The sequence below is a fragment of the Homo sapiens genome, chromosome 2 (genome assembly GCF_000001405.40).
Source record: "Homo sapiens chromosome 2, GRCh38.p14 Primary Assembly".
NCBI classification, from domain to species: domain Eukaryota; kingdom Metazoa; phylum Chordata; class Mammalia; order Primates; family Hominidae; genus Homo; species Homo sapiens.
Window position 1 is genome coordinate 79,518,074 of NC_000002.12, and position 26,251 is coordinate 79,544,324.

The following is a 26,251-nucleotide window of genomic DNA, read 5'->3' on the forward strand; positions in this document are numbered from 1 at the left end:
GTCTACTATAATCTATGTTTTAGTTGCTTTAAAGTAAGTTTATATGTAAATTTCAATGAATAATTTTTAAAACTAGAGCATGGATAAAAAAGTAATATAAATCATATGTTGATTTTTCAGTATGTTGCTACTTGTAGACATCGGGCTATTTTGTTTGCTAGGCAGTTTTGGGGGAAGCCAGGTAATACATTTATGGGATGTATTGAGATGGAGATACATTAAATAAGATCCTAACTTGCTACAGTGTTTCTACATTAAATGAGTGGACATGCCAGAGGGCTAGAGATAAAAAAGTCCTTGAGTTGTATATGGTCTCAAGGGCCACAGAGCCATAATAGAAAATTAATAGAAAGCTTCTGAGATGTTCATATTCTGCAAGTTGAGTTTATGTTGTTCATTATGTATCTGCAGTAGGTCCAATATCTTTTTTATGGCCCCTTGATGTTTTGGAACTAAAACCATGGACTCTTGATGGAGCTATGTCAGTTGTTCTTCCACATCCCACCCAGAAACCACAAGGACTCCAGAAATCACCAGAGGATCTGATGTTCCCATGTTTTATTTGTAAGCATTTGGTGAAAATTCAGTCTTCCAAGTTTATCTTAAATTCATAGGGCCTGAAGCAGTTGTTAAATATCATCAATCTATCTTTCAGTGAGGAAGTAGCAATGTCCCTTAACTACTTTATAAAGAGCTAATTGTACTCAATTGTTTCCGGGAAAGGGTATCCTACAGTCTTTTAGAGTTTACCACTTCATTCTGTTTCTTCAGGCGTTGATAATTGCCAGAGTAATTTCACAAAATATGTTTTTTTTTTCTAATATGTGGAAGTGGCATAAAGAAGTGTATACAAGACTCAAATTTCCTGGGGAAGCCCAGGCGCAGTGTCTCATGCCTGTAATCCCAGCACTTTGGGAGGCTGAGGCAGGCACATCACCTGAGGCCAGGAGTTTGAGACCAGCCTGGCTAACATGATGAAACCCTGTCTCTACTAAAAATACAAAAATTAGCCAGGCATGGTGACGGGCGACTGTAATCCCAGTTACTTGAGAGGCTGAGGCAGGAGAATCGCTTGAACCCAGGAGGCGGAGGCTGCAGTGAGCCGAGATGGTGCCACTGCACTTCAGCTTGGGCGACAGAACAAGACTCCGTCTCAAAAAAAAAAAAAAAAAAAGAGTCTTGGGGAAAAATAAATCTGTGTCTAAATTCATCTCTCTACTGCACTTATGCCTTTCATGTATTTTTTTTATTATATTACCTAGCATGAATTCATTCAACAGGTATTTTTTGAAAATACCTGCTCTGTGCTCAATGCTCTCATTGAGCTAGAGATTATAATTTTATAAGCACACTGAACCAAGGCAACTGGATTCCCCTCCAGGTTTTCAACCAGCTAATTAATTTGTTATGTGATTAAATAAGCCTCAAACTCTCCAACACTTATTTATTTTATCTGCCTTTTGAGTGACTTAGACTTATATCTAGCTATAAAATTCTATAATTCTACATGTGTTTTTTTCTTAAAATTTCAAGGCAAATGATTTGTTTTCATTGTGTTCCATTTGTTTTTTCTTTTGAAACATAAACTTCTGCTGCATAAGGAAAAAAAAACTTCACCTTCAGTGGCATATGCTTTCCCTTTCCCAATAAAATTGCAAATTTAGCTTCACAGTCTCTGGGCAAACTGTGAGGGACTAAGTAACCTGTCTTTTCTTATCTCTCCATCCTTCCCTCTCTTTCATTTTGAAACTTCTTCCTACATTGAAGGTACAAGTCAGTTGCTACCACTATTTAGGGACTCTCCCAGTGTGTGGTTGGCTTGTTTCGGCCATGCCAATGTTTGTGAAAGACTATATGGCATTTATGCATTTAGAATGAAGTAATGTTTATTTAAGAAATTATATATGCTTTAAGGTTAATATTTCTGCCTCAGGCATAGCAAAGCCTTGCTTATCCCCCTAAATTCTATTTCAGAGGACCTGGTGGTCACCAGTCTTCCTACCAATCCAGCTCCAAATTCCCATTAAAATTATTTTAGTAAAATTTTGGGCATATGTTTTATACAATAAAGTGTACCCATTTTAAGTGAATACTTTGTTGTGGATTGACAAACACACCTGTGTAACCAGCAGTGCGATCAAGATACAGAATATATCTGTTACCCTAAAATCTTCTCTTCCGACTGATCTGCTCTCTGTCACTATAGATTCTTTTTTCCTATTCTAGAAATTGATATAGGTTGAATCACAGAATATGTGCTCATTTTTATATTCCTTTTTGCATTGAGCATAATGTTTGTGGGATCAATCTATGATTTTGAGTACATAAACTTCTAGAAGAAAATATAGGAGATAATCTGTGATGTTGGATTAGGCAAAGATCCCTTAGGACCCAAAAAGCACTAATCATAAAATTTAAAAGAAAATATGCATTAGACTTTATCAAAGTTAAAGAAAGAAGTTTTGCTCTTCAAAAGACAAAAGGTTTGTTAGAACTACATGTCTCTCTCTGTATGTTTGACAAAGGACTTTATCTAGACTATGTATAGAACTCTTGCAACTCAGTAAGAAGACAGGCAATCCATCTAAAAAATGAACAAAATATGTGCTGAGATATTTCACACAAGAAAATATACAAATATCTAATGAGCACATGATAACTCTATAATTCACCGAAATAATTAAATTTAAAACCACAGTGTGATACCACTATCCAAACACTAAAATGACTAAGTTGTAAAGACTGGCAATACCAAGTTTTGGAGAGGATGTGAAGCAACTGTGATACTCATACATTGCTGGTGGGAATGTAATACTTTGGGAAACAGTTTGGCAGTTTCTCTTAATGTTAAAAATACTCTTACCATACGATCCAGAAACTCCACTCCCAGGTGAAATGAAAACATATGTACAAGGACTTTTGCATGAAAATTAATAACAGCATACTCATAATAGCTTCAAACTAAAAACAACCAAAATACCTGTCAAATTCCTATTTGAAAGTTACCCCTTTGAGATAGAAAACAAAGCTGCTGATATATATATATATATATATATATATATATATATATATATATATATATATATATATATATAAATTTTAAGGTGCGCTATTTAATATATGTTACCTGGCAGCAGAGGAAGGGGAATACATTGGAAAAGATTTCTAAAATGACAAGAAATGCAGAGGATGGGAGACATGGGCTTAATTTCTGCTTTCTACATTTCTCTTGTCTGTGCTCAGTCTGCATGTTGACTGCTTCCTCAGCCGGTGCTATGATCACTTCTTTAGTTCCTAGCACACCGTCATGCAGCAGCAGCGTCTCTTCCTGCAGAATGAGGAGGTTTTTGCCAAAAGCCCTCCTGCAGACTTCTCTCTTATGTCACTGGCCAGCACTGAATCACATGGACATTCCCAGTCTAGTCAATGGCAAGGGGAATGGGAATACCATGAATGATAGGCGCTTAGACTAAATCAGGATTTACTGGCTGGGACTATGTATGGGATTAGCCTTCACTGGGTGGAGGAGGTTAGGGGACTGATGAACAGAGTAGCAATTCTTTTAATGAGGAAGAGGTAAATGATTGTTGGGTAAGTAAGCAGCAGTGTTTGTTACAATTTGATATAGAGGCCTGCCTTGTTCTCAGGTTTTGGCAAGAGGTTGAAGCAAAAAGCTGAGATTGTGGTCACAACTTTTTATTGTGGGAGAGTGTATGCAGAAACAGGTGACAGAGGGCAACGTGGCACAAGAAGGAGAAAATTTAGATTCTAGCCCACAGCATGAACTGGAGGGGCAGGGAATCTGGACCCAAGGGAACAATTTAAAGTGGGCAAGCATACAAATAGTGACAAGCAAAGCCAAGCACATTGGGGCCCATGGAGTTGGGACAGGAAGCAAAAGTCAGTGCTGGCAGTAGTCTGGAATCCAGGCAGGCAAATTCGATTGCAGTTTGCCCATCTGTGAAATCAGGACCTCAGGCAAGAAGATTTTCATGTTTTGCTTGTTAAGGCAGAAGCCAAAACAGTAATTATTTTCTACTTTTTTTCCTAAGGTGTTCTCAACCACTCTAGATTCTGTCTTAAGGATAGGAGCCGCACCTTCCATTTTTCTAGTATTCTCCTGTGTCATTGCTGGGCCCACAGTAATTCCTTCATAAATGCTTGTTGATTCAACTAAGTCTCTGAACTCGCTCCATCTTCAAACAGATCCTCAGATTTCTGGTCATATGTAACAGCCATTTACAAATGCTTTCCTACAAGTTATCGAAACCACTGTTTTGAGGGGCACGGTCCTGGAGCCATACGTGAGTAAGACACAGTGCCTTGTCTCATAAGTTGACAATCTAGTAGGGGCTATAAGATGAATACCTGAACAGTTTAATACCAGACAGAATGATCGAGTGTGTCCTGCAGTGTGGTACTGATGCCACAGTGGCGTGGGGCAAAAATCCAGGCTGACACAGAATCAGCAACTTTGCTTCAGCAATGGATGGGAATAAGAGTATGGAGGAGGGGGTGACCTTGTATTAGTACTTTCAGATTCAGTCCTGTCTTGGTCTGGGAACTGGGACAGGGCTGGCCTGCCAGGGAGATGAGATCAATGAGCACAGCAGTGGGAGAGGTGGAGAAATCACATTCAGGAGAACTAAAGCTGGGACACTGATAACTACTCGGTAGGTAGCTGAAAAGTGAGACTAGAGTGAAGGGGAGAGGCTGGGAGTAGAGAAATATTTTGGCATTATCTATACAGAGGTATCTCAAGAATCCAATAACAGAAGATACATTGTTTCAAAAAGAACATGTTTTGTCTTTTGCACTTACAGTAATAAATGCCCATTGTAGAACATCTAGAAAATAACAAGAAAAAGAGTCTGGAAAATAAAAATCACTGCAGTCCAACTATTCAGTGAACATTTGGTGAATTTCTTTCCCCCCGTGAGTATATCTGAGTTATATAGTGAGGGTGTTTTCAAGTACAGCTGAGATCATAGGTATATATAAATTTGTATATTATTTTTAACTAAATATATCTAAGCGTTTCCTGCCATAATAAAAATTCTTCCTCTACATTAGTTTTTGTGTAACATTGCATTTTTTTGGAATTTAAGTATTCAATTTTTGGCTGTCTACAGAGATAAAATGTCTGGGTTGATCTGCCTTCAATATGGGCTGTGGCATGGGCAGAAGATTGATTTTGGGGGCCCCAGGAGACTGCTTCAAAGAAATAGAGGTGAAGGTTTGTGTAGCTGTGTATATACATATATATTTTTTTCTTAAATGGTAACATGATGTTCTATACTTTATTTTCATTTTACATATAGTTTAAAGATATCTCCACACTGGCTCAAAAACATATACACCATTGTTTTTTTTAACTCTTGCCTATTACTTGATAGTGTGGTTGTACCATGGTTTATTTAATCCTTATTTCCATGTACATTCAGTTTGTTTGTGCTATTATGCTATTTCAAACAATGCTAAGATGAACATCCTTATACAGGTTTATTGTCTACATGTACTAATGTATTTTTTAAAGGTAAACTCATAAATGCAGTTGTTGAGTCATAAGGTCTGTGAATTTTAAATTGTAATAGTGCCAAATTGCTCTTCCAATTGTTAGTACCTTCCACCAACAATATGAAAGTGCATATTTCTTTACCCTTTTGCCAATACGTGATAATTTTAAACTTGTAAAAGTTTACCAATGAATAGGTAAGAAGAATACCTCTTTTTTAGATAAATTTGTTTCCCAGATTTCTAGAGGTTATCTTTTCATTTGCTTTCTGTCTAATGGCCTAATGTCTTGCCTTTGCTGTGATGAGTGTGTTCATGTTTTCCAAGTTTTTTTGCATGACTTAGTTATTTTAATTTAAGGACTGAATTATATTCTCTGGGTATAAGTAATTTGTTGTTATTCCTGAATTAATGATATACTATTAAAACTACTATTATGATTTCTAGTAGGTGATGGTTTCTTTCCCCAAAGTTTCATCTCTATTTTTACATCTTTATTTTCAGAAGAATATGATAATCAGGTTATCAATTTGAAAACAACACTGTATTTTAGTTAGTATTATATTTAATTTAAGATAATTTTGAGGGAGAAGTGACAACTCTCAATTCATAATCTTTCCATTGGCAGGTCTCTTTATTCAAGTCTTTTTTGTGTCCTTCAGTAACATAAATAGCCTTCTTTATAGAAGGAAATATTTCTCATTTTGTGTTATTGCTATCTTGTATGAGTTTTTATTACCGTTGGGAAAGGGATTTTATTCTTTAATATTTCCTAATAGGTTATTGCTGATGTAGAAATTATTCTTTTTGATTTTTATATTTGGTTTTGTCTCCTGTCACTTTGTTGAAATACCTTATTGGTCCAAAAAAACGTGCCCTTGTGTTTTTCTTAGCAATTTGTATTACCTCTTTTATATGTTAAGAGTTCATAGTTTAAATACACACAAACACACACACACATACACACACACACACCCCACTTACAAGCCTTATTTACATGAAAATGATAACATATACTTTTTATTTCAGTGTCTTCTAATTTTAAATAATTTTTTGTCTTCTATCTTAGATTTAGTGTGAATGAGACACTGTTCAGATTGGAAATACACTGTCTATACTGTACTCCAGACACACCTATTTTGCTTTTAAAATTATTCTCAATATCTGTCTTTTCCATAGTAACGTAAGTATATTTATACCAATATCAGTATATTTGTGAATCTTTCCATTTGGAGTAAGCATAGTGTGTACATGAATTTCATATGTTCACTTCCAGAAATTTACTTGGCACTTTTATAGATGTTTCTCAGTATTCCATGGTGCTTTTTTTTTTTGTATGCTATTCAAAGGCACGGGCCATGTCTTTTCTATATCTTGGATAGAGTTGAGTGAATAATGATCTAATGGTGGTGACAACATGTTTGATTATGCTAATGCCTGTGATAGTAAACTTTTTTTATTTATCCAAGTGACTTTATTGTTTGGATATCTAATTTTTTAAATATTTTGTCATCATTTGCATTTTGAAGCTGTTGTGCTAATACGAGACCTTCATTCCACATCCATCATTGTTTGTTAGAAATGTGTCAGTATTGATACAATAGCCAGTACAGCAGCACTAAGAAGATTTTACAGTCTCCAGTTCGTACCCACATAGAATTTTATTTTTTGGCAGTAAGATCTTCTTATTCAAACCTGAGAGGAAGCTTAACATGGGTAGTATTTTCATGATTTTTCAAATCACGAAAATGGTTATTTTGAATGAAAATCTTTCACTGATTATACAAATTGAGAAAATGGGCTAATTGCCTTGAATTGTAATTGTTCATCTGGTCTAGTCTTTCTGCATACATATCAGTATTGATTTATCATTAATGAACCCATCATCTTAAAACCCTGTGAGCCATTCTATTAGGTTGGTGCAAAAGTAATTGCTGTTTTCTCCATTAAAGGTAATGGCAAGATTGCTTTTACATTACATTATTACATTACATTACATTATTAAAAGTAATGGCAAAAACCACAATTACTTTTGTACCAACCTAATAAGTTAGCTTAAATAGATGATATAATTTTTACTGTTGAAAACAGGCATTTTGCTTTGTAGAATATTGACTGTGTATGTGAAATTAGTAACAAGTGGTAAGTCGTGGTTCATGGAATGGCAAGAGACTTTTATTAGTGCTGAATCACTGAATCTAGTTTAAAAATTTGGTTAACTGCCTTTTCTTAAAGAATTATACCATAAGGATGAGTTAAAGTAATACTAATATGATAAGTTTCAATAAAACTCTCAGTTAACAACATATAGCTATTTTCTGTTCTAGTTTGCTTGAATAATTTGAAATGCTTCTGTCTATATGATGAAATTTTCTTGATGACTGGTTGCCTTTGGAAATAATTTTTTTGTTTGCTGTTTATGAATAGCTGACTTCTTAAATCCAGGTGTATACGTTTTATTGTTGCTCATTTTATCTTACAGTTGCAGAGCTGTTCTTAACCAAGGCAAGTTAATACCATATGAAATAAATACTCCTTTTTGAGTATGAATTTAAAATATTTTTTATCAAAATTATAAGTGGCATTATAAAATGTTTCAACTGGTAAAATGCTAACTTTAAATAGTTTTTATTTTTATACTTTATTGTAATTATAAAACAATCTATACTGTTACTGTTTGCGTTTTACTCAAGAAAATGCAAATACTTAGTGAAGATACTAGAGGCTACAAAATATCATGAAAAGAATTTGAAGAAGACCTAAAAAATGGAAATATATGTATGTTCACAAATGGGAAGACTTAGTATTGTTAATAAGGCAAATTGATTTAGAGATTCAATGCTATTGCTGTGAAAATCCTAGCTTCCTTTTTTTTTTGCAGAAATTGCTATGCTCATTCTAAAATTCATTTGTAAAATAAGAATAGTCTGAAACAATCTTAAAAAAGGTGAACAAAGTTGGAAGACACACTTCTTAATTTCAAAACTAACCGCAAAAGTATAATAATCGAGACTAAATGGTATTGACATCAGCATAGGCATTTATTTTACTGGAATAGAATTGAGCATTCCGAAATAAACCCATATATTTATGGTTAATTGATTTTTCAACAAGGGTGACAAGACAATTTAATGGGGGAAAGAATAGTTATTTAAACAAATGGTGCTGAGACAACTGAATAAACATTTACATGGAAAAGATGAATTTGGACCGCTTTCTCCTCCCATATACAAAAATTAATGATAGACTTCAATATGCATTATAGACCTAAATATGAGAGCTAACTATGAAACTCTTGGAAGAAAACATAGGTGTAAATCTTAGTGACCTTGGATTAGGCATTGGTTTCTTGTATTAGGCAGTAGATTTTTAGATATGACACCCAAAGCTCAAGCAATAGAAGAAAAATAATGTAAATTTGACTTTATCAAAATTAAAAACTTTTATGCATCAAAGGACAGCATCAGGAAAGTGAAAAGACAACCCACAGAATGGGAGAACATATTTACAAATCATATCAGTAAGAATCTATTCTTCCAAATTTATAAAGAACCATATAAAGAATGATTACAGCTTAATAGTAAAAAGAATACCTAAATTTAAAAATGGACAAAGGACTAGAATAGACATTTCTCCAAAGAAGATATACAAATGGCAAATAAGCACACGAAGAGATGCTCAGCATCATCAAGTGAATGCACATCAAAACCGCAATGAAATACGAGATCACACCTGCTAGACGAGTTCTAATAAAAGAATATTAGGCCAGGCGCGGTGCCTCACACCTGTAATTCCAGCACTTTGGGAGGCCAAGGCGGTGGATCACAAGGTCAGGAGATCGAGACCATCCTGGCCAACATGGTGAGACCCTTCTCTACTAAAAATACAAAAAAAAAAAAAAAAAAAAATTAACCAGGCCTGGTGGTTGGCACCTGTAATCTCAGCTACTCAGGAGACTGAGGCAGGAGAATAGCTTGAACCCAGGAGGCGGAGGCTGCAGTGAGCTGAGATGGCGCCATCTGAGACTTTGTCTCAAAAAAAAAAAAATTTAATAAACGTTGGTGAGAAATATGGGGAAATTGGAATCCTTATACATGAAGGTAGAAATGTCATTGTAAATTTAAGGGGGAATATAAAATGATGCCGCTAATTTGGAAAACAGTTTGGTAGTTTCTCAAAAAGTTAAATATAAAATTTCCTTATGACCCAACAATTCTATTCTTAGATGTGTATTAAGGAGCTGCAAAAACATATGTCCACACCAAACTCTGTACATTTATATCCATAGCAGCATTATTTATGATAGCCAAAAAGTTGAAAAATCTGATGTCTATTAATTGAAGAATGGACACACAAAATAAGGCATATTTATACAATGGGATAATATTCCACCATAAATAGGAAAAAGTACTGATACACGTGAAACGTGGATATCCTTGAAGACATTGTGTGAAGTGAAAGAAAGCCAGACACAAAATATCACATATTGTTTGATTGAATTTATATAAAATGTCCAGAATTCACCAATCTATGTAGAGAAAAACTAGTGGTTGTCAGGGTTTGGGAGAAGGGAGGAATGAAGAATGAACGCTAATGGGTACACGTTCTCTTTTTCTTTTCTTTTCTTTTTTTTTTGGAGACACGGAGACAGGGTCTCACTGTGTTGCCCAGGTTAAGTGCAGTGGTGCAACCATAGCTTACTGCAGCTCGAACTCCTAGACACACACGATCCTCTCCCTTTGGTCTCCACAGTAGCTGGGATTATAGGGGTATGCCACCATGCTTGGCTGATTATTATTATTATTATTATTTTGTAGAGAAAGGTCTTGCTGTATTGCCCAGACTGAGAGTTTTCGTTTTGAGATGATGCAAATTCTGGAATTAGATAATGGTGATGGTTGCATATACTGTTTGTGCATATACTATAAAACATCCACTGAATTATACACTTTAAAATGGTAAATATTGCTTATGAATTATGCCTATAATGTAAGGCAAACAAATCAAATAATTATTTGTGGTTTTATTTGTTTTTCCATTTGGAATGTAGAAATTACTCCTTGTCATAATATTAAATCATGTATTTTTTCACTAGAGTTGAACTTAAAGCCAATTCACATTGTAGAGTACAATTGTACTATGTTCATATAATCACAAAATGAATATTTCTTTACTTTGAAAATGACATTTAATTATGTTTATATCTAGCCACAATATAGCTGAAAAGACATTTCTTAATTGCCTTTCTTAGGTAAGGTAGTCTATTTACGATACCAAGATAAGTAAGACATGGTTTCTACCCTTAGGACATCTAATGGTATATAGCGGGAAAGTGCGGCCCGTAAACAAACTGAGGAATATGACATGGAGTAGAGGTATATTGGAAGTTATAGGTAGCAGTGATGAAGGAGTGTTTAAAGTAAAACAGAATTAGACAAAGGTCAAGAAGATTCACATTTCAACAGGAACTTGAAGAACATGTAAAACTTTCCTATAAAGATAAATTAGGAAATAGCATTCCAGGTTGAGGGGAAAGCATGAAGGTAGGAATGTCAGTGTAAATTTAAGGCTCAACAAATCATACAGTTGCCAGAGTGCATAGAGGAGGGATGAGGCATGAGAAGGTGGTAGGGAAGGAGACAACAGGACTGATTATACAGAAGCAAGAAGACTTAGGAACCATCTGAATGTGAGATTCAGGACAAAGGCAAAGACAAGGCTAACCGTGAACGTTATCACATGTCTTCTTGTGCGAAACATAATTCAGGAGTTAGCTGATGCTTGGTGTTGATGATGTAAAATATGAAGAGCTTACAGGACATCCAGATGCAAGTCTTCAATAGACATTTAGGAATAAGATCTGGACTTCTGAGCTGTTGGTATTCAAATTAGAAATTTTAGAGTGAAACAGGAGGTGACAGTTATAGCTGTGGAAGTAGATGAAATGCCCTAAGGTTGCATAAAGCATTTTAAGTATGGGATCTGCATCTCAGGAATACCACTGCTTAAGTGACAAATAATGAGACACATTTAATGGGAAAGAAAGAGAGGAATCGTATGAGGGTATTTACCTCTGAAGTCAAGAAAGTCAGCAAAATGAAAAAGAAAACACACTTGGAAAAGAAATATGTTACTCCTACTTTTAGCTTTTGGTTTGGATTTTTAGCCAAAGCATACACAAGCAAAGAGAGGCAGTTGTAAGATCAAATCTTGCATCTGTTTACTGCTTCCAGCCATGAGGTCTCTGGGTTATGACGTCAACAAGAGAAAGGAAGGGTAAGAAATGACTCAAGCAGATGATAAAGGCTGAACCGGGACATTCCTTGGTGGACTAGGATTGTAGCTCCTGGGTAGCTCTAAAAGTGTAGCAGTTGTGCAGCCTGGTCTCAGGAGCCACTGGAGCTCTGCTGGTGATGAGAAGAGACTGTGGAAACTGGTCAGATCAGCAGCTAAACAATGACCCCATGTCCACTTTGTGGTCTGCTCTGAAGGCTTTCTGTGGTGGGAGGTTAGCTTTGTTTTCTCTTCATCCTGATTTCTGATATTTAAGCCAGCAGAATTTTCCTTCCAGCTGCATTCTTTATTTTACTACACGAATCAATTATTGGCGTGGGTAACATTTTACAAATGAAGCTTGCTAAGCTAAACTGTAACTCTTGTGGGTTTAGTGGTTTGTGCAAAATATGTTTTCAGTAAAACAAAAAAAAGCAGCATTTCTTGTTAACAGGATGCCTCACTTCTCCAGCAAAACAAAGATATTTTACTGTTACTGTCCATACAACTAGCAGAAATAGTTTATCGATAAAAAGGAAACATATCTCTTTACTGAGAAACCATTTCTAGTTTTCACACTGCACAATCTGAATAGTGAAGAGTGGAGAAGGGGAAGGCAGGTGCCTCACTGGTTGATTTTTTTTTTCCTTAACTCCTTTTAAGTTGTGAAGGAAGAGTTTCCAAGTTTCCATTGTTTCCAGGCAGGAAAGGAGATCATAAAATGTTGTTGCATAGATCAGAGAGGTTAAAGAATAGAGAGGCCGCTAGAGGCCACTGTATTTGTTGAGTAAGAAGTGGATCTCACTTGATCTTTGCCAGAGTAGCTTCAGTCAAGTGGTCACCTCAGAAACCTGATAGTATTGAAGAGTCAGTGTGAAACAGAAATTAGATGTTGTATGTTTCCAAAGATATTTAGCAGACTTGGATGCTGAAAGGGAAGTGAGAGGGAAGCATAAAGAGAAGGTTCAGTTTAGTGTGCTTTGTTTTAAGTGGAGCAGTTTGAGCACAGAACACTCAGGATAGTGAGTTCATTGGTGAATTAGTTTCCTAGAGTAGGTAGACAGAAATGGGTCTTAGAATTTTAACACTTTTTAAAACTTTGTGCTTCATCTGAATAATTTATATTCTTTCTTACTTTATTGCAAAGCCCAAATTAGATAAAATTTGATGGAGGGGAGAAAAGAAGATGTCAGTTATGCTTTGCTTTATATAATAGATGGACTGCTAAAATCTCACTTTGTAATTATAACCACTAGGGAAGTTATGATTTAAAGAAGTTCTTTTGTAAGGGAAATGCCACCACTAGTTTTTATTTATTAGTAAATAGATACGCTCATATATATATATATATATATATATATATATATATATATATAGCTTGAGGGTAAGAATAAATGACTTACATAGGTTTCTTAGTTTATTCTTTCATTTCTCTCATGTGCAGCAAATCAATTTATAAGCATTAAAATGCCAGACAGTTTAAGTTTTAAATTCTTACTTTGAATAACAGTGTTGAAAACATAGAGACTTTGTTCTCAGACATGAACAATAGACTTTGTTGCCAAACTTCAGAAATAATCAAATGCTATGGTTTTGCATTTATATACCTACTAATTAGGAAATTAAATGATATTTCCATAGCAACGGAAACAGTCTCCTTGCACACTTGTTTTATGCCTGCAATAATACACAGCAGGGTGTCCAAGGACTTTAGCTTAAGGTCCAAAAGAGGCAAGGTGTGTAAGCATTGACACAAAAGATACACACAGAGGTGTTATTGGATTTACAAAGATGACATGAGTGGCTAAAATTATGTTAGTAAATTTTTTTTTTTTTTTTGAGACAGAGTCTCACTCTGTTGCCCAGGCTGGAGTGCAATGGCATGATCTCGGCTCACTGCAACCTCCGTCTCCGAGGTTCAAGTGATTCTCCTGCCTCTGGTTCCTGAGTTGCTGGGATTACAGGCGCGTGCCACAATGCCCACCTAATTTTTGTATTTTTAGCAGAGACGGGGTTTCACCATGTTGGTCAGGCTGGTCTCGAACTCCTGACCTCGTGATCTGCCCGCCTTGGCCTCCCAAAGTTCTGGGATTACAGGCATGAGCCACCGTACCCAGACATTAGTAAATATTTTTAAAAATAAATCCTCCATATGAATAATGTTAATTGAGAAGGCCTAAAGAGTTTTCCTGAACTCTGTTACAGACGCTGGTTTGGTAAATGACTTCTCCAGTCTCAAGAATTCTACCATTATATTATGGTATGCTTGAAGATGCTGAACTGACCAATTTCTGTTCCACTTTTTTTAAAAACAGTCAGGATTAATGGATAAAGTAATGTGGCTCTCTCAGCCCACTGGGTCTCAGAAAATAAAATTATAGGGATGGGCTCTGTCCCTAGAAAGTAATTCTGTACTAGTCATTAGGGGAGTGACTTCATGGGATGCTTAAATAAGCTTTGTGACGACTCTGACCCCTGTGAATTTAGGAGGTAAAAGAGAGTATTCACTTGTCTTATTTCCTTCTAGCCTATGTTCCAAATTTATATTATAATTGTGCTATTTTGCTATAGTACTACTGTGATTGAATTACAATTTAAAGATGAGTATAGGTGGATTCATTGAATGTGCTTTAATACTTTAAAAATTTTCTTCCTGAATGCATTCTTCTGATTAACTAATTGATTTTTCTTTCACCATCATTGGCTATTATTGACAAATGAACTTTCTAATCTCTTTGTTTTTCTCGCTGATGTATTTTTGAATGACATATTTTGGAACATCCAAAAACCGCCAAGCTGCTGCTTAATTCTGTACTGTCCTCTCATCACAGAATTTAATCTGCTCTCTCAGTCTCTGTCTCTGTCTTTCTGTCTGTGTTCCTGAGTTGTCATTTCTCCAATGCTAAAACCCCTAATCTGGATGCACCTGCACCTGATTAATTTTTGAAGTTCTAATCTTGCTGAAAAAGCATTCAGTGTGTTTCTCTGGCTACCTAATTAACTGTAAGTGCCTTAGCCTACCGTAACTCACGGGTCCTGTGTTCCAGACTCAAGCTCATAGCTCCCATTCCAAAAAGACATTATCATGCTCCTCTAAGGGAACCCTCTTCCCTGACAAGTCTGAAATATTCCTCTCCCATACCCCTGGCTCTTCTTCAGGGCACCTTGGACTCATTTTTTGTTGTCTACCTAGGAGACCTTCTACATGTCATTGAAGTTCATCTAATATGCAGTCTCGCTCCTTGATGAATTTGTATCTGATCCCTTAAAATGCTTCCATCTCATTCTCCTCCTAACTGCTATATCCCTTTATCTGTTCCCCATTTTTGTTACACCTTTTCTTAGAGTTATTGTTGTATTTGTTGTCCAGGCTCCATACCCGCTACATAACCTGTACTCTTGACTGAGAATGTCTTTAAAGCAGGGATAAGCTTTATTCATCTAAGTATACCTTACAATGTGTATCACAGAATTTAGCATATGGTCAGTAAATACAGGTATTCAGTAAACTTATTCAGTTTCAATATATTAACTGTTTTAAAACATGAAGTGAATGGTAGTTTATAGAAGTTTTGGTATGTTTGGAAATATCAATTTTACAGTATCTAAAAGTATATTAAGACATTCTTGAGACTTAGAAAAAAACACACTGAGTTCCCATGGGTTGTATTTTATCAACTAACTAGAGTATATTAAATAATATACAATTTTGTAATTGTGTTATAGATGATGAGAGACACAAGTGGCCCCTAAACTGATTGAGATCTTAATAATGGCACATGTTCCTAATGGATTCAGAGATCTAGAGGAGCACCTATTGTGGGATACTAGTCCTAAGGAATGCTTTATCGATCAGGTTCTGTTTATAGGTAAACTTGGGAAACGACTTGCTTTTTCTTCTAAAATAGTGTCTGAGAGTTTCTGCCATTAAACAGGCAAACAAATAGCCCAAAGAGGAAACAACAAAACACAATTAAACTACACTTAAATATCATATATCCATATATCCTACATTAATTTGGCACAAAATCTCTCTACCAATCTGCCCTCTCCTGCTCGGCCTTGCTGGAATAACAACTGGCATCCTGCAGAATCCACCAGAGGAAATACTGATCTGAGCCTTTATAAAGCTTTTTATTAACTATGTTTGCTGCACAAATAATATTATAACTAAGGACATTTTTCTTAAAAGAGAAGTGTTATCCTTCTTGTCAAAATTGTGATGTATGTTGTTTGCATTTCTGTGTTTCTTTTCAGGCTTGTTTATATTCATTTTCAACATGGTTGTAGTCATAGAATACATATGATTTTATGTCATTTTAAAAAGTCATAGTTCCCAATTGTTATCTATATTTAATAATTATTATTTTATGGCTACATTTTATTACATGTTTAAACATTTTTATTATTTTTGGCTTTTATTTGTAAACAGTTTAGAAATGAACACCGTTGGGCGCATTACTTTCTATTAAAAACTGAGCTTAAGGATCCTAAGAGTATAGATACCGAGTTGAAGGCTCTAGTGATTATGGCCATATTGTTTGTTATAACGCTAGGATAAGTTTATATAGCTTCCTGCAGTACTTAATTATATCCAGTTCCTTGTCTTTCAGGCTCATAATAGGTATTCTTTTTCAATTTAATTATCTTAAAATGAAAACTTGTGAACAGTTTTTTTTTCCCTGTAAGCCTCATAGAGTTGAGGTAAATGAACGTTAGTTTATTATAAAAAAGATTTATAGATAATTTTTGCTACTCTTAACCCATGATCACCTAGATACAGATATATTTATTCTAGTACTGATAGTATATTTTCTCCTGAGTTCCTCTTTTTCATTTTTGATATTGTGCTTGTTGTCCCCAGTTTCTGAAATACAACATTTTTCTTGACTTTGTGATAACTTCAGCTGTGTTTTATATAGCTTTCCACTTGTGTGATTATTGGCTTCCCTTTCAAATATGTCAAGTTCTGGATAAATATTTTTTCATTTCTGATTTTTGCTGTTAATATTTTTATAGCCAGTTAGTTGGTAAGAAGGGTGAAAAAAAAAAACTCCTGCAAAACAAATAGAAAAAAATACACATAACTATTTAATCTGATATTGAGTAGGGAAGGCCTTTCCAAGCATAAAAAGGAAGAAATTTAAAAGTAAACAACTGACAGATTAAGTATGACATAATTTTTAAGAAATTACTTTAAAAGGCGGTGAAATAAAGAGATAAACTATTCATGCAAAAAAATTTAACATATGATAGACAAAATCTTAATCTGTTTAATAGCTAATGAGCTCTTATCAGTCAATAAAAAACCCTAAATCTTTCAGAAAAATGAATAAACTATTTTTCAATGAACATATTTTGCTCTTTTTTTTTTGAGACTGTCGCCCTGGCTGGAGTTCAGTGGTGCAATCTTGGCTCACTGCAACCTCTGCCTCCTGGGTTCAAGTGATTCTCCTGCCTCAGCCTCCGGAGTAGCTGGGATTATAGGCCCCTGCCACCACGCCCAGCTAATTTTTTGTATTTTTAGTAGAGACAGGGTTTCACCATGTTGGCCAGGCTGGTCTCGAACTCCTGACCTCGTGATCCGCCTGCCTCAGCCTCCCAAAGTGCTAGGATTACAGGGGTGAGCCACTGCACCCGGCCCATATTTTGCTTTTATAACCAGGCAAAATAAATTTAGAAATTATTATAAGTAGAATGTAAAACTTGACATTTAAAAAAATTATGCCCTTCAAAATCATTTATTCTTATATTTGTCCTTACTATCCCATTGGATATGTAATTACATAATCATATATATAATTTAAATAAATAATAATGTATTTTTAGGTATGAATGCTATCAGAATTTTAGCTTCCAGGGACGGGTCAAATATGAAGGGGGAGGAAAATCAAGGTGCTTAGAAGGTATTCCCAGAAAGAATTAAAGATAACAGCAGGGAGATAGTTAAGATTTTTGTATCTTCAAGGCTCTTGTATAGCTGCACATTGTCAGCTCTGTTGAAGAGTTGAAAAAAATGCCAGCCCAATTACCATGATTAGATCTGCCTTGCCATAAAATATCACTAATGTTTGTGGAATGTTTGAATGGACACGTACGTGAACAGCTCTCAAGCTCTTTTCTGATTTTGACATTTATAAGTTAACTGGATGGTACCCAAATTCTTGAAGGGATGCAACGTAGACAGATAATTTTCAGAGGGGTCACAGCAGGGAAGAAGATTCGGTCAAGGTAATGAGGCACTGATTGGGGTCTGCTGACAGGGAAGAGAAGTTACCAAAAAGTCAGAGATATACAAAGAAAGCCATACCTAGATTCACATTGCCAGCCTCACTTTCCCAAGTGGCTAGGTTTTCTTAATTTGTCAAGAGCTGAGTTGTGTAATGAGGTGAAAGCATGATCGCTATTTGGTTGATTCTGATCATATATCTGTTTCTATTAAGGTGCAAGCTGTATGGTTTGTCACCATCCAGATTGGTAGGAAAAGTATAGGCACATTCAGGTTAATTCTCCAGTTGGCCATCCTAGCTAATAGTGTACAGCTTCATAATGAAATGGCAAGTAAGATCCAGAGATTCAGATACTCCAGATACCAGTAGTACAATCTTAAAATTGCGAAACTGTGGCTTAAATATTTTTTGACTAATAATATCATAACAAGGTTTTCTAAAGTTTCCTAAGTTAGCATATATACACCTAAATATCTCTAAAGAAGTGTGTGTGTGTGTGTGTGTGTGTGTGTTTGTGTTGAGGGTGGGGTACATGCATGCATTTGCTTTGAGCTCATCCCCTACTCTACTGTCGTCACTTTCACCATGGATTTTTTTTTTCTTTTCTTTTCTTTTCTTTTCTTTGGAGAAGGAGTTTTGCTCTGTCACCAAGGCTGGAGTGCAGTGGTGCGATCTTGGCTCACTCACTGCAACCTCTACCCCCCGGGTTCAAGGAGTTCTCCTGCCTCAGCCTCCCGAGTAGCTGGTGTTACAGGTGCATGCTGCCATGCCCAGCTAACTTTTTGTATTTTAGTAGAGACGGGGTTTCAGCGTGTTGCCCAGGCTGGGCTCGAACTCCTGAGCTCGGACAATCCGCCCACCTCCGCCTCCCCATGGATTTTACTGTACTTACATCTGTGTCTCTTGGTTTTCCTGTTTGCCTTTTGTTCTTCACTCAGGGTTCTCATGTTGTTTACCTCACTTGCCACTGTTTGCAAAATTGCCTGTTCTCTCCTCAGTGTCTCTGCCCTTTTTATTTGCACGTGGAGGGCTTAAACCACCCCCCATTGAAGGACGTTCTGTTGGTGAGTTGAAAAAATGACTGCTTAACTGACTGATTTGACCTGCCTGATCCACCAGTCTGCCTTGTTATGTAATGACCACCATTTCTAGAAATTAACAAGCCCTTGAATCAAATGCTCATCAGCCTGTAAGCAAATGTTTCCCCCTAGATTTCTGCTACTCTGGGATTTTAACATTTCTTGTCTCAGAATGCTCTGCTCATGCTCAGTTCCTGCACTCCTATCCTTTCATGCCCTTTCCCGTGCTCTTGCATCACATTTAGTTCTTTTATCCCTTTGTTCTTATGCTGCTAGGGTCTATGCTTGGGGTGTTCATTTTTCTGCATTTTCCAGTTATGGTGAGAGGTGTCATGTGTATGACCTTAGGAAAACCCAACTTTAGGAGAAGACTGGCTTCCTTGCAGAACGGTTAAGGTATTTTCCCCTTAGGAACCAAATCCGTCTTGGTAATCAGTTTTCATTCTTGCTCAAATTCAGGGGTTCACCCAGTAGCAAAGGCTGCTTGCTGCCCGCACTATGTAAAAGTAGAATGCAGAAACCATCAGAACCACTTTTACCTTTAGACCATAAATACTTACCATGTCAGTTATATTTGCATCCTAGAACATAATTTTGTTTAGCACATGTTTCTTGAATTACTATGCCTTTTTTTTTTTTTCAAGAGAAAGTTATGCATACAACTTTCCTGGATACCAGTAGCCCCTCAGGATCTGTGGTTTTGGACATTTGGGTTTTATAATTTTATACCCCAAGTTGAAAATCTAACATCATTTTACATATGCATGGCTTACTTCAGTTTCCTTCATTTAGCGAATATGAACATTATTGATTCTACTTTTGGAAGGAAAAATGGTGACCCTGTTCATTCCAAGAGAGGGAAGATCTATTTAAACTCCATTCACTCAATGTAGAGGAGTAAGACCAGGATCACAAAAACATGTTTTAAAACACTAAGATAGTTTGTAAAAAACAAAGATAAAACACAAACTCAAACTTGTTGTTTCAAACTCTATAACCTATTAATAAATACTGTGAACATATCAGCTTCTGGAAGGATTATGCTGCAGCATTAGTAATAAAGATGATTATTCGAAAAAAAAACCTTATCAGGGTATACTTTTAACCACAATATATCAGAAACAAGTGTCTTTGAAAAACCTTATACCGCCTGTAATTTTATAGACTAAAGCTGTTATGATTTTTTTCTCTAATCCTTTATTTATTTATTGTTGTTGTTGAGAACTTGAACATGCCAGCCTTGTTTATTGCAAACGTGGTATTTAGTTATCTTTGGAATTGTTGAGGAATTACTGGATTGTAATAGTGATACAAAATACTGTGGAAGCATGGAGGACAGAGAGACATGTTGGATGGGGTGAATGGGGAAAATCCAGAGATATGGCCTTGCTATCGAGCAGATTTTGAGAGTGGAAATAGCAGGTAGGGCTGGAAATAGTAACATTCTATGGGAATGGAGAGCATGACCCAAAGTAGGGGAGCTCAGAGAATATTGCTGAGAGGTGAGTAGGCATGTGTGGTTCATATTTAAATTACATGGGGTCAGAGTTTGGTCAGAAGAAGGCTGGGAACAGATTTTATATGGTCTTAAATGCTATTCTGAGAGATTTGAGCTTTATTTCTATTCCAGGGGCAAGCTGTCTAATTAGTGTGCTCTAATGTCTGAAGCATGACATGATGACTGTGCAAACAGAAGATCATAACTGGGAAAGGTGGTGGCAGATAAATCAATTAGGAGGCTCTTGCAGCAAGTCAGGTGAGGCCTTATGAAGACCTGAACGAGGGCAGCATACTTGAGAATGGAATAACCTAGAGAAGTGATCTGCTTACATCAAAATCAAGATCAATAAGGATAAATCCAAGCTTTTCTTTGGTATGAAAATATCCAAATAATTGCACAGATAATGGTTAAGAAAAGACTAGCTAGGCAGGCACAAGTACAGCAGACAGAGACCTGGGAGTCCAAGAAGACCATATGGTGAATGTGAGTCAGCGGTGTTGTGCTGTTATTAAAAAACAGAACCAACACTATGGGGAAATATATTAATAGGAGTGAGGCATGCAAATGGCAGGAAGTAGCCTTTCTGATCTATTCATAATTGTTGAAACTTTTGCTTTCCTCGTGTCTTCTGTTGGCCTTCACACATCAAGAGCGTGTTTAGAAAGTGTGAAAGGCCTCGAGAAGGCCATTGGAAATGCTGGAGGTGATAGAAGGTGATATCTGTGGTCCTGGGTCCTCTGGATATAAAGTCATGAAGGCTAAATCACTGTAAACCTTTTTGACTGTATGAGGCCCTTGGAAGCAGTAATGTGAATTCTAGCAGCTCAAAGAATTCAGATACAATGTTACTTTCAGATACAATGTTACTTGTAAATCACTCTGATTTTATCTTTATATTGTAATAAACTGTGGGTGGCTTTATTATTAGGATAGACAGGAACAGGGAGGTTTGGAAATGCTACTTTTACCCCCAGCTGGGAGTGTGTTTGCCCTCAGTTGTTGAATCCTGTGATCTCATTTTTCCCTTCTGGTCACCTCAAGCCTGTCAGTGTTTGAAAGACTCTTGTGGACCAGAACTATCTGTCCTTCCACTTCCACATCAATAAATGAGGCTGACCACAACTGCATGGAAATTAGGGGGGCTGTGCATTTCTAGCTCCTGCACTTCTTTACCTGGTTAATGACAGTATCTTTAGAGCTCCTCCTGCTTAGTGTCTCTTTTTGGAAGGTCTTTCTGTGACTGCCCCACCCAGGTCTTGTTTCTTGTCACGTGCATTAAGAAAACCTGGCTTTTAAATAGTATTTATTTTAATTAGCAGTTACACACTAATTTGTATATAATTCCTAAATTCCTTTCTGTCCCACCAGACTGCAACCTTCATGAGAACAGGAACTCTGTTGCTTTTGTTTGCTGATGTTTCCCCAGAACCTTATATATTTTTTTGTATGAAAGAATAATTAAACTTATATCACAAAAGGGAATGAGTAAGAGAAAAAGGATCCAAAGGGGGCAGTTTTCGGTCATTCAAAGCAGTACCACTTAGTGGTTAGGGGTGTGGGCTGTGTTTAGGTACAACACCTGGCTCTGCCACTTACTAGCTTGGGCAAGTGACTGACCCTCACCGTACCTTAGCTTTCTCATCTGTAAAATGCATATAACAATATTACTTACCTCATAGGGTTACAGTAAGAATCAATGATTGGATATTTGCAGAGCACCTTAAACAGTGTCTGGCACCGAGTAAGTGCAACATATGCCCTTGAAATAAATAGAAGAGAAGCAGAGTTTTGCCCCTCAGCTGACTCCATCTCCGTTTGGACTATCCTTCCTTTAAATCTCCCCACCCAAAATTATACTAATCCCCATTGTATTCCTGTAATCGTTTACATTACTGTTTCCTAAAGTGTGGCATGAATGCCACTTGCTTTATGTAGGATGACTCAATTGTTTTAGTTGATTCACAGGACAAACACATTTTTAAGTCATAGTTATGTATTTATAATGAGCACATGAAATATAAGTGAACCAAATGTGATTCAATTTTGTTAAATATTAATGAAGTCGCTTATACATTTAAAAAAGATCTTTGATTCCGTGACTTTGCTTTGTGTAGTTTTTGGACACCATTTAACTCTTCAGTGATTTGTTTATTTCTGAGTACTTTGAAGTGTTGATAACTTTTCCTACTTACTGTAAGTTTGATCAAATAATTTGCTTGAAACAACTTAACATGGTATGGAGAGTTGGAAATGGGTAGCTTTTATTTAATAGCTATCGGATTGGTGTGATTAAATGTCAAATTTTAATGTTGTGTTGATCAAATTGTTTTGATTGGTTTGCTTGTGATTTAGCATTTCATACCTTGTATAAAATGTCCATGAGACATGTCCTGAAAAAACATTTCTTTGTTAGGTTTTAAGTCTGCAATGTAACTGTGCTTATCCCTATGTGTCTTTTGTTAACATTTTTAACCTTGAAAGTATATTCATGTGTATAAGTATAAACATATATATTACACATATATATGAGTTTGTGTGTATATATATATATATGTACACACACACAAGAATAATTTTTCAAATTCTTATTTTACAAATGTTAGAATAGAATGGAGCTGCTTTAATTTTGGAGCTCTTATATGTACACACAGATATCCTATATATATATATATATACACACACACAATGTTTACACATATGTATAAATACATACATATACTTGTATACATATATACACATACACACACGCACACACACATATATATATATATATATATATATATATATACACTCATATACTTGGTAAAAATATGTACTAAAGGATATATTTAGCTACAGAGTGAAATATTTGCCATATAGCCCAAATTCTTATGGCTTAGGAGTTGATTAATAGGTTAAATAGTGGCTGGTGTCTCAGCTTATTAGAACATTTACGATTTGCATTTCCCCAATCTTCATAATTTTTTTTTTTTTTTGAGACAGAGTCTCTCTCTGTTGCCAGGCTGGAGTGCAGTGGCATGATCTTGGCTCACTGCAACCTCCACCTCCTGGGGTCAAGCAATTCTCCTGCCTCAGTTTCCTGAGTAGCTGGGACTACAGGTGTGCGCCACCACGCCCAACTAATTTTTGTATTTGTAGTAGAGACGGGGTTTCACCATGTTGTCCAGGATGGTGTCGATCTCTTGACCTCGTGATTCACCCACCTTAGCCTCCCAAAGTGTTGGGATTACAGGCGTGAGCCACCGTGCCTGGCCCCAGTCTTCATAATTTTTATGGAATGTGTGACATGGTGCTTGTGGTGATAATTTTTCATAATGCTAGAAAACTAATAATGCTTTCAACTGAGAGCTTTCTGGCCTTATAATTTCTTTTTTTTTCTCTTTAGCTTTTTAAAAACTAGGCTTTATACTTCTGCAACTGAAATGTGCCGAACCTTTTAGCCCGAAAGTAGTATATATTGTGTGAATGTTCTCAGCACTGCTAAACTTGCCAAGATAACCTGAAGGGTTTTGTCTGGCTGCTGCAATTTCCTACTGCCAGTATTAATCCCCATTTTTCATCCCCTAGTATGGGCTATTTCTTCAGCCCTTCAAAATCGAAAGAAAGAAATTTTGTATTACAAAATGCACTATGTTATCTGATGTTAAAAGTAAAAGATTTATCCTAAAATAACTATTCTATTTAGTATTCTTTATGAGTTTTGCAAACTTAAGCAGCAAAAGTTACTTTTCCTTTTTGAATGTAATTGACTTTTGTATTTTTGTGATTTCAAAGCATTGAAATTAGGTTGCAGACATTTAAACAGAATGTCTCAATTTTTTTGTCTGTGTTGAGCTTTGAAGCAAAATTCCCAGATTTGAATCTCAGCTTCATTGCTCACTAAAACTGGGCAGGTTTAATGAGCATTCTGAGCCCTAATTTACTTATCTGTAAAATGAGATGATAGTACTAACCTATAAAGGATTAAAGATAATGCACATAAAGTTTATAGCGTAGTACCTTAAACACTATTAGCAAATTCTTATTTTACAAATGTTAGCATAGAACAGAGCTGCTTTAATTTTGGAAATCTCACATGCACATACACACACATATTTATTTATTTTAGTAAGACCATTTCACTATCTCCTGTAAACTGGTTAAAAACTATCAAAAATGAATATTTTCTTTATATATTAATGTCCTGATTTTTTTCACTGTAGTGCATTTCTCTGCTTAATGTGTCACTAAGAATTTTTATCAACTTATGAGAATATGGAGGGGCTTAGTAAGTTTAATAAATTTAATAGTTTGTTTGCATTTTCTACCATTTTAAAAACAACTCATGTGTTTTTAAAATTTCAAATTCATTTTCAACCATTTATAAATGCTCTGTTTTTCTTCTTGGGAAGTATTTTCATAAACTTTAGCTTACAGTGTTAAGTGAATTGTCTGGAACCTGGCTGTTTTGTGATGTAAAATTGACTTTCAAGTACGACATTAGATCTTTGATATATACTTTTACTATTTCGGAACACGTTCATAATTTTCCATTAAAACATATTTGTGAAGTTTGGTAAAATATTTGTAAAGTTTCATTGAAACAAAACCGTGTAATATCCAAAAAAGACAAAGCAATCGTTATGAGCTGGATATCCTATAAAAGAGTGTTAGGATTTTATTTTACTTTGAAATGTGAAATCAAGTTATTATTTCAGTAACTAAGCATTGTTGTACCTTTCTTCTTAAGAAGATTAATATGTAAATTTAGTGTTACCTTAATTCAAATATTTCTTTAAAGATGTTTTTAAAGATAGACAGCTGTAGCTTGCTGGTTATAAAAGCAGCAGTTAGAAATACATTTTTGACTCACTTATTATTTTGACTGTTTTGATGGTTTTCAATCTGACAACTTTTTTTTAGTAGCTCCACTGCTTCCGTCACACCCAATTGGACCTTGTTTAATGTGTTGGTTTTATGCTTCACTAGCAATGAACAGATCATTTAATAGATGATTATATATGAAAATATGATTTATAATGAAAATGGTTTCATAGGCTATATAATAGTGCAGAACTACCTGGAAATAAAACATTGTGTCCATCTGTTTTACAAAGTCCATTTTATGCCTTTATCATGATACCAAAATTTCATTAACACCAATTTGAAAATATTAAAGAATAAAAAAAGACTTTGTGATTTAAATTTCTCGTTATAAAATATTAAAGTAGAAAAGGACAACAAGTATTCTTGGACAAGGGAAGAGTTGGACAAAATTAGTCAACAAGATCCAGGTTTGGGGACTTTTCTTGGAAATGGAGTCTCACTCTGTCTGCTGGAGTTCAGTGGTATGATCTCGGGTCGCTGCAAACCCTGCCTCCTGGGTTCAAGAGATTCTCTTGCCCAGCCTCCTGAGTAGCTGAGACTACAGGCGTGCGCCACCACACTGGGCTAATTTTTGTATTTTTGGTAGTTACAGGGTTTCACCATATTGGCCAGGCTGGTCTCAAACTCTGGACCTCAAGTGATCCACCTGCCTTGGCCTTCCAAAGTGCTGTGATTACAGGCATGAGCCACCGCGCCCAGCTGGTTTGGGAAATTTTTGAATGAATAGTGTGTAGTTGCAATAAATCAGTTGAGTTGTAGGTTAAGTCTAGAGAAGTCAGTCCATAATC

General features: G+C 35.8%; 1 protein-coding gene across 10 annotated transcripts in view; it reads left to right on the top strand.

Annotated features, from left to right (window-relative positions):
* The window catches only part of CTNNA2 (catenin alpha 2), a 1,463,404-nt gene that overhangs the window by 332,697 nt on the left and 1,104,456 nt on the right, over positions 1–26,251 (top strand). The window contains exon 1 of one of the 10 annotated variants that reach the window (NM_001282598.2): positions 5,110–5,236. The exons of the other annotated variants lie outside the window; for them this stretch is intronic. Within the exon in view, the coding sequence (NP_001269527.1) occupies positions 5,140–5,236 (97 nt within the window). The 5' untranslated portion in view covers positions 5,110–5,139. Of the gene's footprint in view, positions 1–5,109; positions 5,237–26,251 lie in introns of those variants that run through there. 10 annotated transcript variants of the gene reach the window in all.